This window comes from Homo sapiens, chromosome 2, assembly GCF_000001405.40.
Source record: "Homo sapiens chromosome 2, GRCh38.p14 Primary Assembly".
Lineage (NCBI taxonomy): Eukaryota > Metazoa > Chordata > Mammalia > Primates > Hominidae > Homo > Homo sapiens.
In genome coordinates this window covers 214,104,220-214,121,551 of record NC_000002.12, presented here as the reverse complement: position 1 = coordinate 214,121,551, position 17,332 = coordinate 214,104,220, and the positions used below count along the sequence as shown (strand labels likewise).

At 37.7% G+C, this 17,332-nt stretch overlaps 1 protein-coding gene across 15 annotated transcripts in view; it reads right to left on the bottom strand.

Moving 5' to 3' along the window:
• SPAG16 (sperm associated antigen 16) overlaps positions 1 to 17,332 on the bottom strand; it is a 1,126,038-nt gene that overhangs the window by 288,950 nt on the left and 819,756 nt on the right. For all 15 annotated transcript variants that reach the window (NR_047659.2, NR_047660.2, XM_011511814.2 and 12 more), the window contains one exon: positions 13,291 to 13,356. Coding sequence is in view for 13 of the 15 variants with exons in the window: in XM_011511814.2 (XP_011510116.1) it covers positions 13,291 to 13,356 (66 nt within the window). In the remaining 2 variants the exon portion in view is untranslated. The remainder of the gene's footprint in view (positions 1 to 13,290; positions 13,357 to 17,332) is intronic.

Sequence of the window (17,332 nt, the reverse complement as noted above, 5' to 3'; positions counted from 1 at the left end):
TTTGTCACTCATTTTAAAGATGAGCTAAATAATTTGCTCAAGATCATATGTCTTATGAATAGCAAAGCCAGAATCCGAAAAGTACCAATAGGAGAAAAATATAACTGAAATTGGACAATTGTACAGAGACTCCAAAGGCATGGTAAACTATGATGCCACAGTAGCTTTCTAAGGAACAGCGAATCTGTCCTGATAATTAAATAACTTTAGTTTGCAGCTAAGCATCCGCAGAATTTGGAAGCCTAATCAAGTTGAAATAAATAAGATCTAATGATACAATGCTATAATGAAAGCCTTGTGCTTATATTTGTTCCGAATTCAGCATTCATTTATTTATTCATCTCCTTTTATGAATATTAAATATGTAAAACAAACTATGCTACATAGTGGAGATATTGGGTAAAATGAAATTGGAAATATCCTTTTCTTATTTCTTTTCCCTGAATTCTGGTGTAGAGAGATTTTTGAAAAAAGTAAACAGACAAAAATCCCCAAGACAATTGCTAGCTATGACGGAGAGTTCTACTTCTGCATCTAGATGAATAGAATAATATTTATTAAGATGACATAATGGAGAAAGGAATCAGTGTGGATTATGGGAAAGCAAGTTTCATTTTTAACATATTTTAATGAGATATCAGATGTTTAGGCTGAGTTGCAAAATGACTAATGGTAACTTTGGGGGTCAGAGTGGGATTTACTTGAAAATCATCATCATATAAATAAAATTAAAAGTTACAAGTTTAAATAATATGAATTATAAAGAGAATCTGCTAGATAACAGGATTTAAGATTGAGCCTTGATACACTATAATATTTAGCAGTCAAGTAATAAAGTAGGATCCAGCACAGTAGATTGAGAAGCGGTGCCTGTGGATATTTTATTTCTCAGGGCTCAAGAGAGGAGAACATTTTAAGTGACAATGAAAATTACTCATTGGGTACAACAATACAGAGCTCAAGAAGAGTTTCAGTGAACTTTTTGATTTGGAATTCATATTGGAATAGTTGAGGTGAAAATGCTAGTGCAGGTTTCTAGGAAACAAGGAAATATAAGATAATGAAGAAATATTCCTGCCACTCAAAATTTATAGAAATTATAGATCAAAAAGTAAAAAAAGAAATTAATATATGCCTAAAATCAAACTAGACATAATGAAACAAGGATGGACAAAGTTGAAAAGAATCTAAAATACTACATTTCTATAAGAAATGTAGTAATTGAAATAGAAAAACTCAGTAGAAAGAATAAAATTAAACAGGATTCAGCTAAAGAAAGATTGATTTATAAGACAGTTGGGAAGAAATTAATTGGGATGCCACACAAAGTAGTAAAGCACAGGAAATATAAAAAGAAACATGAAGTGAATGAGAAGATTCAACAGAGATATAAAAGGAATTCCTAAAAGAGATACTAGAGAGAATTGACAAAACACAATATTTAATAACATAATGGCTGAAAAATTTCCAGCATTGTAGAAAGACAAAAGTGCTCATATTGAGAAGACACATCAAGTCCAGAGAAAAACAAAAAAGAAGCAAATCTACATGTAGACACAGCATAGAAAAATTAAAAGCTAAATATGCAAGATATTAAAATGTATGAGAAAGATCCAACCTTATCTACAAAGGATCAACTATTAGATTTATAGTTGATTCTCATCAGCAACAATAGTGACAGAGGAAATAACAGAATGAAAATAAAATAATGACATTTCCAGATATACAAAGACCAAAAAAAGTTTACTACCCACACACTTTCCCTGAAAGAACTATGAGAGACTATCGTTAGCAAGATAAAATGAAACCCTGCAGGAAGGAGAGAAAAGAAAGAAATTAGTTATAGGCAAAGAAATAATAAAACATATTGGTATATCTCATAAATATCAAAGATTTACATGACTAATTTCAAGATGAGACTAGAATGCAAAATAAAAATAAGGAAAAATGGAAAAGTCCAGCAAGAGCTTCTAGAAGGCCCTATGGAATGTCCATCCTAGTAAGACTTAGGTCAACTTCCTGGAAATTTGAAGTCAGGTGAGGCTCCCTGCTCATTTTCCTGCCACGTATTATTTACAGTTTTTGTTTTTATTTTTTCCTTTAGATTGAATTTTCTGTGGCTATTAATAATTTTCTGGAAATTACTGTCATCTTCCTTTTTTGGTTTTGGCTTTGCTTTATAAAAATGACTTAATAAGTAGCTTTTATAGTTCCTTAAAATGTCTCATGACAGATTACTTTAAAAGGAGGTTTAAAATAAATATCTACTTCCAATGGAGAAATCAAGGAGAAATTAAGACATCCGAGCTCTAATACCATAAGAGAATTAAAATTCAATTTAACAAATAAAATTCAATTCAATAGTTTTTCAGGGCCATATATAAATATTGTTTATTGCCTATCTGTTTCTGTGAATCTTTTTTAAAGATGTATTTTGTTTTTCATTGACATGTAACTACATATTTATGGATACAATGTGATATTTTGATACATGGGTACATTGAGTAATGCTCAAATCAGGATAATTATCATATCTATCACCTCAAACACTTGTCATTTCTTTATGGTAAGAATATTTGAATTTCTTAGCATTGTAGTATATTTTAATGTCAGGTAGTATGATACCTCCAGTTTTTTTCTTTATTCTCAGGATTGCTTTGGCTATTTGCAGCCTTTTGGTTCCAAAAAGATTTGAAATTTTACTTCAATTTTTATAGAGAATGTCATTAGTATTTTGATAGAGATTGCACTGAATTTGTAGATCACTTTGGGCAGTATGGACATTGATATGGTTTGGCTGTATCCCCTCTCAATTTCCTCTTGAATTGTAGTTCCCATAATCGCCATATGTCTAGGAGGGATGGGTGGGAAGTAATTTAATCATGGGGGCGGTTACCCTCATGCTATTCTTGTGATAGTGTGTGAGTTCTCAAGAGATCTGAAGGTTTTACAAGGGGCTTTTCCCCCTTTTGCTCAGCACTTCTGCCGCCACCATGTGAAGAAGGATGTGTTTGATTCCCCTTCTGCCATGATTTTAAGTTTCCTGAGGCCTCCCCAACGATGTGGAACTGTGAGTCAATTAAACCTCTTTCCTTTATAAATTATTCAGTCTCAGGCAGTCCTTTATAGCAGTGTGAGAAGAGACTGATCCAGATATTTTAACAATATTAATTCTTCCAGTCCATGATCACAGGGTATCTTTCCATTTATTAGTGTCCTCTTCTATTTCCTGTCATCATTATTTTGTAGATTTCATTGCAGAGACATTTCATGTTTTTGTTTAAACTTATTTCTAGATTTTTTGTAGTTATTGTAAATGGGCTTCTTTGTCATATCTTTTTTGGAGAGTTTGCTATTGCATATAGAAATGTTACTATTTTTTATTGATTTTGTGTACTCCATCTTTACTGAATTTATTAGTTCTAACAGTTTTTCAGTGGGGTCTGTAGAGTTTTCTCTATATAAGATCATATCATCTGTAAAAAGAGACAATTTGTCTTCCTCCTTTCCAATTTGGATGCGCGTTATTTCTTTTTGCTGCCTAATTGCTCTGGCTAGGACTTCTAGTGCTATGTTGAACAGAAATAGTAAAGATAGGCATATTTGTCTTAGTCCAGATTTTAGAGGAAAAACTTTCAGCTTTTCCCTATTTAGTATGATGTTTGTAGGTTTCTCATATATGGCCTTTATTGTGTTGTGGTATGTTGCTTCTATACCTAATTGTTCAGGGTTTTTATTATAAAGGGATTGTGAATTTTATTGAATGCTTTTCCCATGGCTAATGAGATGATCATATAATTTTTGTCTTTCATTCTGTTAATGTGATATATAACATTTATTGAATTGCCTATGTTGAATCATCCTTGCATCCCTGGGATAAATCTCATTTGATGATGCTGAATGATCTTTTCGATGTGCTGTTGGATTTGGTTTGCTAGTGTTTTCTTGAGAGTTTTTGCATCTATGTTCATCAGGAATGGTGGCCAATAGTGTTGGTTGTTGTTGTTGTTGGGTCCTTGTCTGGTTTTGGTATCAGGGTAGTGCTGTTCTCATAGGATGAGTTAGTAAGAACTCTATCCTCTTCAAGTTTTTGGAATAGTTTGAGAAACATTGGTATTAGCTCTTTTTTTACATGTTTGGTAGAATTCAGCAGTGAAGCCTACTTCTGAGCTTTTCTTTGACAGGCAACTGTTGTAGGATCCTGTAACTTCTTTATTTTTATTCTTTTCTCTTTTTCCCTTCTGACTGTATTTTCAAATAGCCTGTCACCAAGCTTACTAATTCTTTCTTCTGTTTGATCAATTCTGCTGTTAATGCTCTCCACTGTGTCTTTTATTTCATTCATTATATTTTTCAGCTCCAGGATTTCTGTTTGATTTTTTAAAATTTCAATCTCTCTATAAAATTTCCCTGATAAATTTCTCAATTGTTTCTCTATATTTTTTGAAGTTTGAGGAGCATCCTTAAAACAGCTATTTTTGAATTCTTTGTCTGAGAGATGACACATCCCTGTCACTTTAAAATCAGTGTCTGGTGCCTTATTTTCTCTCTTTGGTAAGGTAACATTTCCCTGAATATTACTGATAATAGTGGACATGTGACAATGTCTGCATTTTGAAAGACTGGGTATTTGTTCCAGTCTTCACAGTCTGGCTTTACTGTGCCTATCATTTTTCAGAGCGTCTTCCAGAGATCTAAAAATACTAATTGTGTTCCCTGAGCCTGTGATCACTGAAGTTGTCTTAGCACTAGAGGAACCTCTCAGCCCAGGTTTGCTGTGAATCTCACAAAGGTTCCAAGGATGACATGGCTCTCTGTCCTAGATGGACCTGGGGAAGACTTAAGGAGGGTCCCTAGGCTGTTGATGAAAGCTGAGCAGGAACCTAAGACTGAAATATTTTCCAGTGGCCCACACAGGTGTGCTTCCCAGCAGGTCTCTGCGCAGTGGAACTGTGTCCATACAGGTGTGCTTCCCGGCAGGTCCTGCACAAGTGGTCTGGGCCCTCTCAGGATCTGCTGTGTGACAGCAGCTGACGAACCTGTCTCACTGGCCCACGTGAGTGTGCAATTCCCAGCAGGTCTTTGCATAGACAGCATAGTTCCCCAAAAGTAGTAAGGGGAGCTGGAACTGAGTCTGGTGCACCTCAAAATCTGCTGTGAAATGGAGGTTAGTGAACTCATTATGGAGGCTTAGACTCCCAGGTTGAGAGAATATGGGCAAGTCTCCTTCTGTATCCTTGTACAAGCAGTCCTCATGTGGAACCTCAGCTGAGGGAGGCTAGTGCCAAGCCAAAGAACAACTTTCAGTTTCAGTGTGAAGACCACTGTCATTGAGCAGACAAGTCTCTTCACTGAGGCAGTAGTCTGTGTGGTTCCTCTTGGATGCCTGGGCAAATGGTTTTGGCACAGGTTTAAGGCCAAACAAGGATCTAGCCAAGCCCTTTGGGAAATGAGGTTATTCCTAGGCTTGAACCTGGGAGCATAATCAGCAGATCAGCTACGTGGGTGCTGGTCTGTACTCTCAAAATAATCCTCCTAAGTCTTGGGCTCCACTGGGGCTCTGCAGCCTCCTACCTGAATCCTGAAACTCCTGCTGATAGACTTTTGTCTGTGGATGGGTGCAGGATTCTTGTGGGCGGAGATAGGAGGGTTACTTTTTTTTTTTTTTTTTTTTTGAGATGGAGTCTCACTCTGTCGCCAGGCTGGAGTGCAGTTGTGCAATCTCAGCTCGCTGCAATCTCTGTCTCCCGGGTTTGAGCAATTCCCCTGCCTCAGCCTCCTGAGTAGCTGGGACTACCGGCACACAAGACCACACCTGGCTAATTTTTTTGTATTTTAGTAGAGACAGGGTTTCACCATATTGGCCAGGATGGTCTCGATCTCCTGACCTCATGATCTGCCTGCCTCAGTCTCCCAAAGTTTTGGGATTACAGGCATGAGCCACTGTGCCCAGTTGAGGGTTACTTTTTATTCCACCATCTTACTGACATTACCCTTGTTTCTGTGAATCTAGATTGCTAGCTTGATAACATTGAGTTTTACATGTGTGATTCCTACTTACAAATCTGAAATTGTAGAATTTTCCCCAAACTATGTTTATGTAAATAGCTAAATGCAACTTTAAATGGTAACGCAACATGAATGTCTATCCCTAAAGGCACCAAGTAATGAGCAAGGCTAATACCAAATAACTAAAATTTTTGCCTTCTATATATGTACCACATATGGATTTTTTAAATACAACTTTAATAGTTTGTTTGAATATGAACTGTGTCTCAATGCCATGTCCTCAAGAGACCTGTGGGAGTCCCTGCACTCTGCAGTCACAGCTGCTTCTCAACCTCCTGACATTGCTTAGCAGGTATGTGACATAAAACATAATTGTTAAAACAATTAATATAAGTGACCAAAAATTTCCTTAAAAAATGTCAGTCATCATAACAAGACATTATTTTTTAAAAATATTAGTAGTTAATAAATATTTGCAGCAAAGAAAAGATCAATTAATGGAAAATTTTAATGAGGCTGTGGGATACTGATTTGGAGCTATATTGTAATAGTCCTTTTGGTATGAACAAAGTGTGCAAATAAAAACATATTAGCGAGTTCTGTTCCAAGATGGCCAAATAGGAACAGCACCAGTCTGCAACTCCCAGCATGATCAATGCAGAAGACGGGTGATTTCTGCATTTCCAACTGAGGTACCTGGTTCATCTCACTGGGACTGGTTGGACAGTGGGTGCAGCCCACAGAGGGCCACCCGAAGCAGGTAGAGGTGTTGCCTCACCCGGGAAGCACAAGGGTTTGGGGGATTTCCCTTTCCTAGCCAAGGGAAGCCGTGACAGACTGTACCTGGAAAAACGGGACACTCCCGCCCAAATACTATGCTTTTCCGAAGGTCTTAGCAACCGGCAGACAAGGAGATTCTCTCCTGTGCCTGGCTCGGGGCAGGGGGTCCCACGCTCATGGAGCCTTGCTCACTGCTAGTACAGCAGTCTGAGATCCAACTGTGAGGCTTCAGCCTGGCAGGGGGAGGGGCATCCACCATTGCTGAGGCTTGAGTAGGTAAACAAAGTGCCCAAAAAGCAAGGCCTACTGCCTCTATAGACTCAACCTCTGTGGGCAAGGCATAGCTGAACAAAAGGCAGCAGACAACTTCTGCAGACTTAAACGTCCCTGTCTGACAGCTCTGAAGAGAGCAGTGCGTTGTCCCAGCACAGCATTTGAGCTCTGAGAATGGACAGCCTGCCTCCTCAAGTGGGTCCCTGACCCCTGTGTAGCCTAACTGGGAGACACCTCCCGGTAGGGGCTGACAGACACCTCATACAGGCGGGTGCCCCTCTAGGACAAAGCTTCCAGAGGAAGGATCAGGCAGCAATATTTGCTGTTCTGCAGCCTCTGCTGGTGATACACAGGCAAACAGGGTCTGGAGTGGACCTCCAGCAAACTCCAACAGACCTACAGCTGAGGGACCTGACTGTCAGAAGGAAAAATAACAAACAGAAAGGAATAGCATCAACATCAAGAAAAAGGACATCTACACCAAAACCCCATCTGCAGGTCACCGACATCAAAGTCCAAAGGTAGATAAAACCACAAAGATGGGGAGAAAACAGAGCAGAAAAGCTGAAAATTCTATAAACCAGAGCACCTCTTCTCCTCCAAAGGATCACAGCTCCTCACCAGCAATGGAACAAAGCTGGATGCAGAAAGACTTTGACAAGTTGGCAGAAGTAGGCTTCAGAAGGTCGGTAATAACAAACTTCTCCGAGCTAAAGGAGGATGTTCAAACCCATCACAAGGAAGCTAAAAACCTTGAAAAAAGATTAGATGAATGGCTAACTAGAATAAACAGTGTAGAGAATACCTTAAATGACTTGATGGAGCTGAAAACCATGGCACAAGAACTACATGATGCATGCACAAGCTTCAGTAGACAATTTGATCAAGTGGAAGAAAGGGTATCAGTGATTGAAGATAAAATTAGTGAAATAAAGCAAGAAGAGAAGTTTAGAGAAAAAAGAGTTAAAAAGAAACGAACAAAGTCTCCAAACAATATGGGACTATGTGAAAAGACCAAATCTACATTTGATTGGTGTATCTGAAAGTGACGGGGAAAATGGAACCAAGTTGGAAAACTTTCTTCAGGACATTATCCAGGAGAACTTCCCCAACCTAGCAAGGCATTCAACAACATTCAAATTCAGTAAATACAGAGAACACCACAAAGACACTCCTCGAGAAGAGCAACCCCAAGACACATAATTGTCAGATTCATCAAGGTTGAAATGAAGGAAAAAATGTTAAGGGCAGCCAGAGAGAAAGGTCAGGTAACCCACAAAGGGAAGCCCATCAGACTAACAGAGGATCTCTCAATAGAAACCTTACAAGCCAGAAGAGAGTGGGGGACAATATTCAACATCCTTTAAGAATTTGCAAACCAGAATTTCATATCCAGCCAAACAAAGCTTCATAAATGAAGGAGAAATAAAATCCTTTACAGACAAGCAAATGCTGAGAGATTTTGTCACCACCCGGGCCTGCCTTACAAGAGCTCCAGAAAGAAGCACTAAACATAGAAAGGAACAACCAGTACCAGCCACTGTAAAAACATGCCAAATTGTAAAGACCATCGATGATATGAAGAAACTGCATCAATTAATGGGCAAAATAACCAGCTAACATCATAAAGACAGGATCAAATTCACACATAGCAATATTAACCTTAAATGTAAATGGGCCATATGCCCCAATTAAAAGAGACAGACTGGCAAGTTCGATAAAGAATCAAGAGCCATCAGTGTGCTGTATTCAGGAGACCCATCTCACCTGCAGAGACACACATAGGCTCAAAATAAAGGGATGGAGGAAGATCTACCAAGAAAATGGAAAGCCAAAAAAAAAAAAAAAAAGCAGGGGTTGCAATCCTAGTCTCTTGATAAAACAGACTTTAAACCAACAAAGATCAAAAGAGACAAAGAAGCCATTACATAACGGTAAAGGGATCAATTAAACAAGAAGAGCTAACTATCCTAAATATATATGCACCCATTACAGGAGCACCCAAATTCATAAAGCAAGTCCTTTGAGACCCACAAAAAGACTTAGACTCCCACACAATAATAATGGGAGACTTTAACACCCCACTGTCAATATTAGACAGATCAATGAGACAGAAGGTTAACAAGGATATCCAGGACTTGAACTCAGCTCTGCACCAAGCAGACCTAATAGGCATCTACAGAACTCTCCACCCCAAATCAACAGAATATACATTCCTCTCAGCACCACATCGCACTTATTCTAAAATGGACCACATAATTGGAAGTAAAGCACTCCTCAGCAAATGTAAAAGAACAGAAATCACAACAAACTGTCTCTCAGACCACAGTGCAATCAAACTAGAACTCAGGATTAAGAAACTCACTCAAAACCACACAACTACATGGAAACTGAACAACCTGCTCCTGAATTGTCCCTGTTTGCAGATGACATGATTGTATATTTAGAAAACCCCATCGCCTCAGCCCAAAATCTCCTTAAGCTGATAAGCAACTTCAGCAAAGTCTCAGGATACAAAATCAATGTGCAAAAATCACAAACATTCCTATACACCAATAACAGACAAACAGGAAACCAAATCATGAATGAGCTCCCATTCACAATAGTTATAAAAAGATAAAATACCTAGGAATCCAACTCACAAGGGATATGAAGGACCTCTTCAAAGAGAACTACAAACCACTGCTCAACAAAATAAAAGAGGACACAAACAAATGGAAGAATATTCCATGGTCACGGATAGGAAGAATATTGTGAAAATGACCATACTGCCCAAGGTAATTTATGGATTCAATGCCGTCCCCATCAAGCTACCAATGACTTTCTTCAAAGAATTGGAAAAAAACTACTTTAAAGTTCAGGAACCAAAAAAGAGCCTGCATTGCCAAGACAGTGCTAAGCAAAAAGAACAAAGCTGGAGGCATCACGCTACCTGACTTCAAACTATACTACAAGGCTACAGTAACCAACAGAGCATGGTACTAGTATCAAAACAGAGATATAGACCAATGGAACAGAACAGAGCCCTCAGAAATAACAACACACATCTACAACTATCTGATCTTTGACAAATCTGACAAAAACAAGAAATGGGGAAAGGAGTCCCTATTTAATAAGTGGTGCTGGGAAAACTGGCTAGCCATATGTAGAAAGCTGAAACTGGATCCTTTCCTCACACCTTATACAAAAATTAATTCAAGATGGAATAAAGACTTCAATGTTAGACCTAAAACCATAAAAACCCTAGAGGAAAACCTAGGGAATACCATTCAGGACATAGGTATGGGCAAGAACTTCACGACTAAAACACTAAAAGCAACGGCAACAAAAGCCAGAATAGACAAATGGGATCTAATTAAACTAAAGAGCTTCTGCACAGCAAAAGAAACTACCATCAGAGTGAACAGGCAACCTACAGGATGGGAGAAAATTTTTGCAATCTACCCATCTGACAAAGGGCTAATATCCAGAATCTATAAAGAACTCAAACAAATTTACTAGGAAAAAAAAAATCCCATCAAAAAGTGGGCAAAGGACATGAACAGACACTTCTCAAAAGAAGATACTTATGCAGCCAACAGACACATGAAAAAATACTCATCATCACTGGCCATCAGAGAAATGCAAATCAAAACCACAATGAGATACCATCTCACACCAGTTAGAATGGCAATCATTAAACAGGAAACAACAGATGCTGGAGAGGATGTGGAGAAATAGGAATGCTTTTACACTGTTGGTCAGAGTGTAAATTAGTTCAACCATTTTGGAAGACAATGTGGCGATTCCTCAAGGATCTAGAACTAGAAATAACATTTGACCCAGCCATCCCATTACTGGGTATATACCTAAAGGATTATAAATCATGCTACTCTAAAGATGCATGCACACATATGTTTATTGCAGCACTATTCACAATAGCAAAAACTTGGAACCAACGCAAATGTCCATCAATCATAGACTGGATTAAGAAAATGTGGCACATATACAACATGGAATACTATGCAGCCATAAAAAAGGATGAGCTCATGTCCTTTGCAGGGACATGGGTGAAGCTGGAAACCATCATTCTCAGCAAACTATCACATGGACAGAAAACCAAACACCGCATGTTCTCACTCATAGGTGGGATTGAACAATGAGAACACTTGGACATAGGGTGGGGAACATCACACACTGGGGCCTGTCAGGGGTGGGGGCTGGGGGAGGGATAGCATTAGGAGAAGTACCTAATGTAAATGATGAGTTGATGGATGCAGGAAACCAACATGGCACATGTATACCTATGTAACAAACCTGCATGTTGTGCACATGTACCCTAGACCTTAAAGTATAATAATAAAAAAAATTAGCTACTTTGATATTGGACACCTAAACCTCATATCTGTTATCTTGCCCTTTGAAATATGGGAAATTAATGTATGTCTCTCTTGATTGCTAATTCAATAAATCTAATTTGCTTATTTCCATATTTATTAAGTTTAATATTTAGAATGTAAAATGCTGTCTTTTGCAGTTATTATATTGCTTGCCAAAATAAAATGCCTGATTTACAAAATATTATTCATTTCAGCTCCCATTTAATTTTTGTAGGGCATGTGAAGCTATACGCCACTTAATGGACTTTCAGCATAAAACTATATTCTATTTCATAATGGGTCCATAGTGCTTAAATTTTTCCATACCCTGCTGGAAATAAAATATTCCTTGGTATCTAGAACTAATCTATAATACTTTCCAACTAATTGGCTCACTACAGAAAATTAGATAGAATATTTCTTACAAAGACCAATCTATTAAAATGTAATTTTGGTTGAGCCCATCATTAAAATTCCCAGGCCTGACAATGACACAAGCACAATTTCAATTGGAGCAATCAACATTCCCTTAGTAGATATAATTTTTAGTGAGCATTTTTCCTCTTTCTAAAAGAATGATACTAGCAGGATGGTAACAGAATTTTGACTATGCTATCATTGTGATGTTAGATGTAAGTAATCCATCAGATTTCTTTTATAGCTAATTGGAAAAGAAGTGGAATTTGGAATTAAGATTCTCACTCTACTGGGAACTTTGAGACAACCAAAATGTTAGATATAATTAAATCATAGAGTTTAAATGAACCTGAGAGGTCATCTATGTAGTCAAATCTCTTTCATCTGAGAACAGACTTAAATCATCCTTCTTTGATTACTATCTGAACCCTTTTAAAGACATCCTTAATTCACGTGGCAACTGTCTTAATCCATTTTCTGTTGCTATTACAGAAAACCACAAACTGGATAACTTTAAAGAAAATAAATTTATTTCTCACAGTTCTGGAGGCTGGGAAGTCCCAGAGCATGGCACCATCATTTCATGAAGGCCTTTGTGCTGTGTCATCCCATAACAGAAGGAGGGAGGAAAAAGAGCAAGAGAGCAAAAAGACTGAACTTGCAGCTTCAACTTCCTTCAAAGACATTAACCCATTCAGGAGGGAGGGCGCCAGTGTCATGACCTAAACATCTCCTATAAGGCTCCACCTCCAAACACTCTTGCATTGGGGATTAAGTTTGCGACACATAAACTTGGAGGGATACATTCAAACCACAGAAAACTCAAAGGACTCTCCAACAATTTTCATTGTTTGTGAAATCATCCTTACACCTGAATGAATACCTCAAGTGGCAGATAAAATATTTTTGTTTTGTCATCAGTTTTTATGAAGAAGGACATATTTGAAACTTTTCCATGAGTAATTAAAAAGCTGTCAAATCAAAGCTGTTCTGTTCTAAATTGGAGAAAACTTTTTTCTTTAACTGCTTTTTCTTCTCCAGGTTTTCTTACAGAAAAATTACAGAGCAATTATAGTTATTTTAATGATTTTTCATTAAAATTTTATGCAGTCTATAGCCCACCTATTTTTTTGAAGCCCAAATTGGACAAAAGGCTCTTAAAAATGTGTTTAAGTAAAGTTGACTACAGTAGAATTCCTTGTCACTCCTGCTACGACTTGGGGTGTGTGTGGGGGTGTGTGTGTGTGTGTGTGTGTGTGTGTGTGTGTGTGTGTGAATTTTAAAATTCTGCAACCCTATATACCTATAGACTTTTCCTATTGTTTACAACTAATTCCTAAAGTTGTTCTTCTCACCTCATTAACTTACCATTTTAGCTTGGAAATTTGTTTTATAAAAATGAATTTGTATATATGAAGCATTAAAAACAGTTTACTGGGAGAACTGAACTTACCCTGGGATCAAAAATGGCATCATTGATAGAATGCATGTGACCATAAAGTGACTGCTCACATATACCCTAGGAAGACAAAGCAGAAACAGAGTCAAATAAATTTCTTTTGGAACGTAAAAAGGAATTCAAAGATGCTTTTAAGTTTTAAAGTAATTTTTAGCCCCTCCTCCCAGAATTAATACATTCTCACCATAGAAAATTCTAGCTTTTGCTATCAACTACTATTCAGAATAGTACAGACCTAGAGCGGGGAGCATACCATAGTACTGGTATCTACACTGAAATTCTACTGTTGTTGCTTTTACACCACTGAGCTGGTAGTAAACTCTCACTAAGTGGCTGCATTTCTCAATTAGCATAGCTTTCAAGCCCTGAGGCCAAAGACTATTAAGAACTCCCTTATTAGAAAGCTGTTATTTTCAGCACAGCATATCTACTGCTGCTGGGGGTAGGCAGTGGGGTCTCTCTTTTTCTTTTTAAATGATAGAATCACATTTTAGCTCCTGAATTTTCACAGTTCAGCATTAACATTATTACCTGTATAAAAATTTATAAAATATATACAGTGGCATTTTTAAATACAGAATAAGCATTTGTTTTGTGAGAACCAAACTTCACATCTATTCATTCAATTTAACTTATCCAAATAATAGCTAAAATTAAAATTAACTACAAAAACATCCCAGCTTCAGTTTAAATGTTTCCGGGAAAGATGGACCTATAACACATTATAATAGGGATCTAAATATCTAAATGTGGGGCCTTTCATTTTGAACACCAGTGTTCAACGGGCATTCTTGACTCTTGTAGGGAAATAACCCAAATTCTGTAGAACAAGGGAAAGTCATATGTGGACTATTGCTTGGAGAGTCTTGCTATGTGCTTGGAAATTCAGATTTCATTCAACCATTTGTTCATTCGACAAATATTTTTGAGTAATTAATATTTGTCGGCACAATTCTAGGTGCTTAGGATATGTCAACAAATAGACAAAGAACCTTATTCTCACGGACCTTATATTCTAGTGGAGGAGATGGGCATTTTGTGATAAAGGCATAAAATGTACTAGAAGATAATAAGTCTGAAGAGAAGAAATTGTCAGGCAGGGTTAGTAATAGTAGGAATTTTGGGATTTGGGAACTAAGGGAAATCACATTATCAAGTAGAGTTATCCAGTTTGGCTTCACCCAGAAGATAAAGTTTGAATAAAGAATGAAAGTATAGTAAGGGAGTTAGCCAAGAATGAAAGTATAGTAAGGGAGTTAGCCAAGAATGAAAGTATAGTAAGGGAGTTAGCCAATGAAAGTATAGTAAGGGAGTATAGCCAAAGTATAGGAAGGGAGTTTTTCTGGAGGAAAAGTGTTCCAGGTAGGAAGAAAAACTAGAGCAAATGTCTCCAAGTAGATGTTTGCCTCACACATTTCTGGAACAACAAGGAAGCCAGTGTGGCTGGAAAGAAGTCAGTCAGAAGAGTAGATTCACTCAAAAGTCTTCATCTACTCTCATTCACTACCTTGTATTTATTTAACCTTAAATCTTTGAAGGCTGGGAGAGATTACAGAAGAGATTGCAAAATGAGCTACCAAAGGTAGATCATCATGATGCCCCTCACTGTTATTGGCCATTCATGGAGTATCTCTGAACCAAGCAAAGTTGGAAAGGCTTTATAACTAAACTAATCTCTACTTGGTCCTCATTATCGTCATTGTACTCAGCAAGTTAACTTCCAAATATCAATTTAAAGAATCAATTCATGCTACAAATCTTTGTTCACAGAGTGCAAAATTTCCCCACATAAATTTAAATTTCACAAAAATAAATTGAAACACTTTGATACTCTCTCAGAATCTCAACCATCCTTGTTATTATGGCTCAGTATCTTGACACTGTTATAACTTTAAACCAATTATGCTAAGAACTTCAAATCATCCCAATTCTCAAAATAGAAATAAATTACTTACAAAGCCAAAAAGGCAAAGCATAAGATGTCATAGTTTTTTATATTATCTTAGAAATTTTTTGGTTAATTTTGAGAACTAATATACAGTGATGTAATATTAATACTTGTATACTGAGTGGTAATATTTTTACAAAGATATAAATTAGCAAATTGTCTTAAAATATTTTTGTATTAATGAAAGTTTTGCATTTGGTCCTTTTCTAACTTGAGAATCGCTAAACTATTTGATTAATTGGTAATGAAAAGTGTAGTAGCTTTTTTTTTCAAATTCTGAATGCCAAGTTTTAATTCAAAGTAGAATCTCTATGGCACTCTTGAAAAACCCTGGAAATATGGGGTTATAAAGGAAATGCTGACGGACCACATTTGTGCTGCTATAACAAAACCTGACTCGAAGATAAATGTTTCATGAATTAAAATAAGTTTAAAAAGCTTTTCTACACAGCTTTGTTCCCAAGATAAAAGTGAATCTCCTCTTTTTGTGGTATAGGGAATGTGAGGGTTACTAACATTCTAGTCTGCAAACAGCCTTAATCAAAAGCAATACTCAAACTGGGACATTAAAATTTGGAATCTCTTCTTTGATGAATTCTTGTCAGAATAGTTGTCTTTCAAAAGGAGAAAAAATAAAAAAGAAAGAAGAGTTTACAAAAAAAATAATAATAATGTGACCCAATATGCATTGCTCCAGCATTTGATTCAGACAGAGAAGCTGTGTGTAATAATGATCTCTATCACTGACCCTGGGGGTAGAAATGGCCACATTTAATTTTTGGATCTGCCACCTAATAGCTGTGTGACCTTAAACAAATTGCTTTGCTTTACTGTGCTTCAGTTGCCTGATATGTACAATGAGATAATGGCATTTAACCTATAGCTTTGTTAGGAGAATTAATTGAGATAATAATGCACAGGAAATGTTGGTATGTTGCCTAGCACAGAGTAAGGGCCTGACAAATATTGGCTCTTAATATTTGTCATATACTATTGAAATGCTGAATATTTTCCAGTTGACATATCCACCCTTACTTCTCCCTGAGTTCCAACTTTGAATGTCTATTTGCCTTCTTAAAGAGCTCTTGTGGACATGGGTGCTGTTTGTTCTGTTGCCCTCAGATTCATTCTCCGCATGGCTCTGCCCCGCCCTATGCCAGGCTCTCTACTAACTACATTGCCTATGTTCTTAGGACTTCTGGGCTCTGGTTGGATTCAGCCAGAGGGAAGCGCCTGTAGGATATGGATAAGCACAAAGAGAGAATGGATAAATTGCCACTTCTGCTACCTCCCGTTCAGCTGTGATTATGTCGGTGGCCTTATTCTCTACCAAATTCCACAGCTCCTGTATCCTTTCTCATGGCCACTTGCACACTGCATCCAGTAATGCTTTCCTTCCCCTCCCCTTTCAGACACAGTGGTAGTGGGCAGTGATGATTTCCCATTGTTGCGAGTCCCTGGCTGCTGTGCTAGCTCCCTTAATGCCGCCCATACCTCTGTAAACATTAAACTTGAGCTTACTCCGTGAGTCCCCTCTTTCCTGCTGGTGACCTGTCTGATGCAGCACGTCAGACATAATAAGCAAAAGAAGACTTGTTGATTTACTACTTCCCAACTGTCTATTTTGATCTTCACGAAATCTTTATACATATAAATGGCATCACCAGCTGCTCAAACAAACAAACCAAGGCAACCAAAAACCTGGGAATAAGAATACCTCTTTTTCTTCCCCCACTCCAGCCCCAACCCTTATCTACTACAAGTCTTTCTTCAAAATACAGCCCTACTCTGCCCAGCTTCATCCCTTGCCACTATCACCACTCTGGGGGCAGGCCATCATCCTACAGACCCTGACTATGGCAGGAGCCTCCTTCTCCCACTCCACCCCACTCCCAGTCATCCCCTTCACCGCCACTAGAGCAACCAACAAAAGCTGAATCAGACCATGTCACGCTCCTGCATACAGCCAACCAAAAAATTATCATTGCACTAAAAGAACTCCAAACTCTCTGCCTGTGTCTTAAGGCCCTGTATTGTTCGGCTCTTGTCTCTGTATCTGACCTCATCCTTTACCACTCTTCCTTTTCA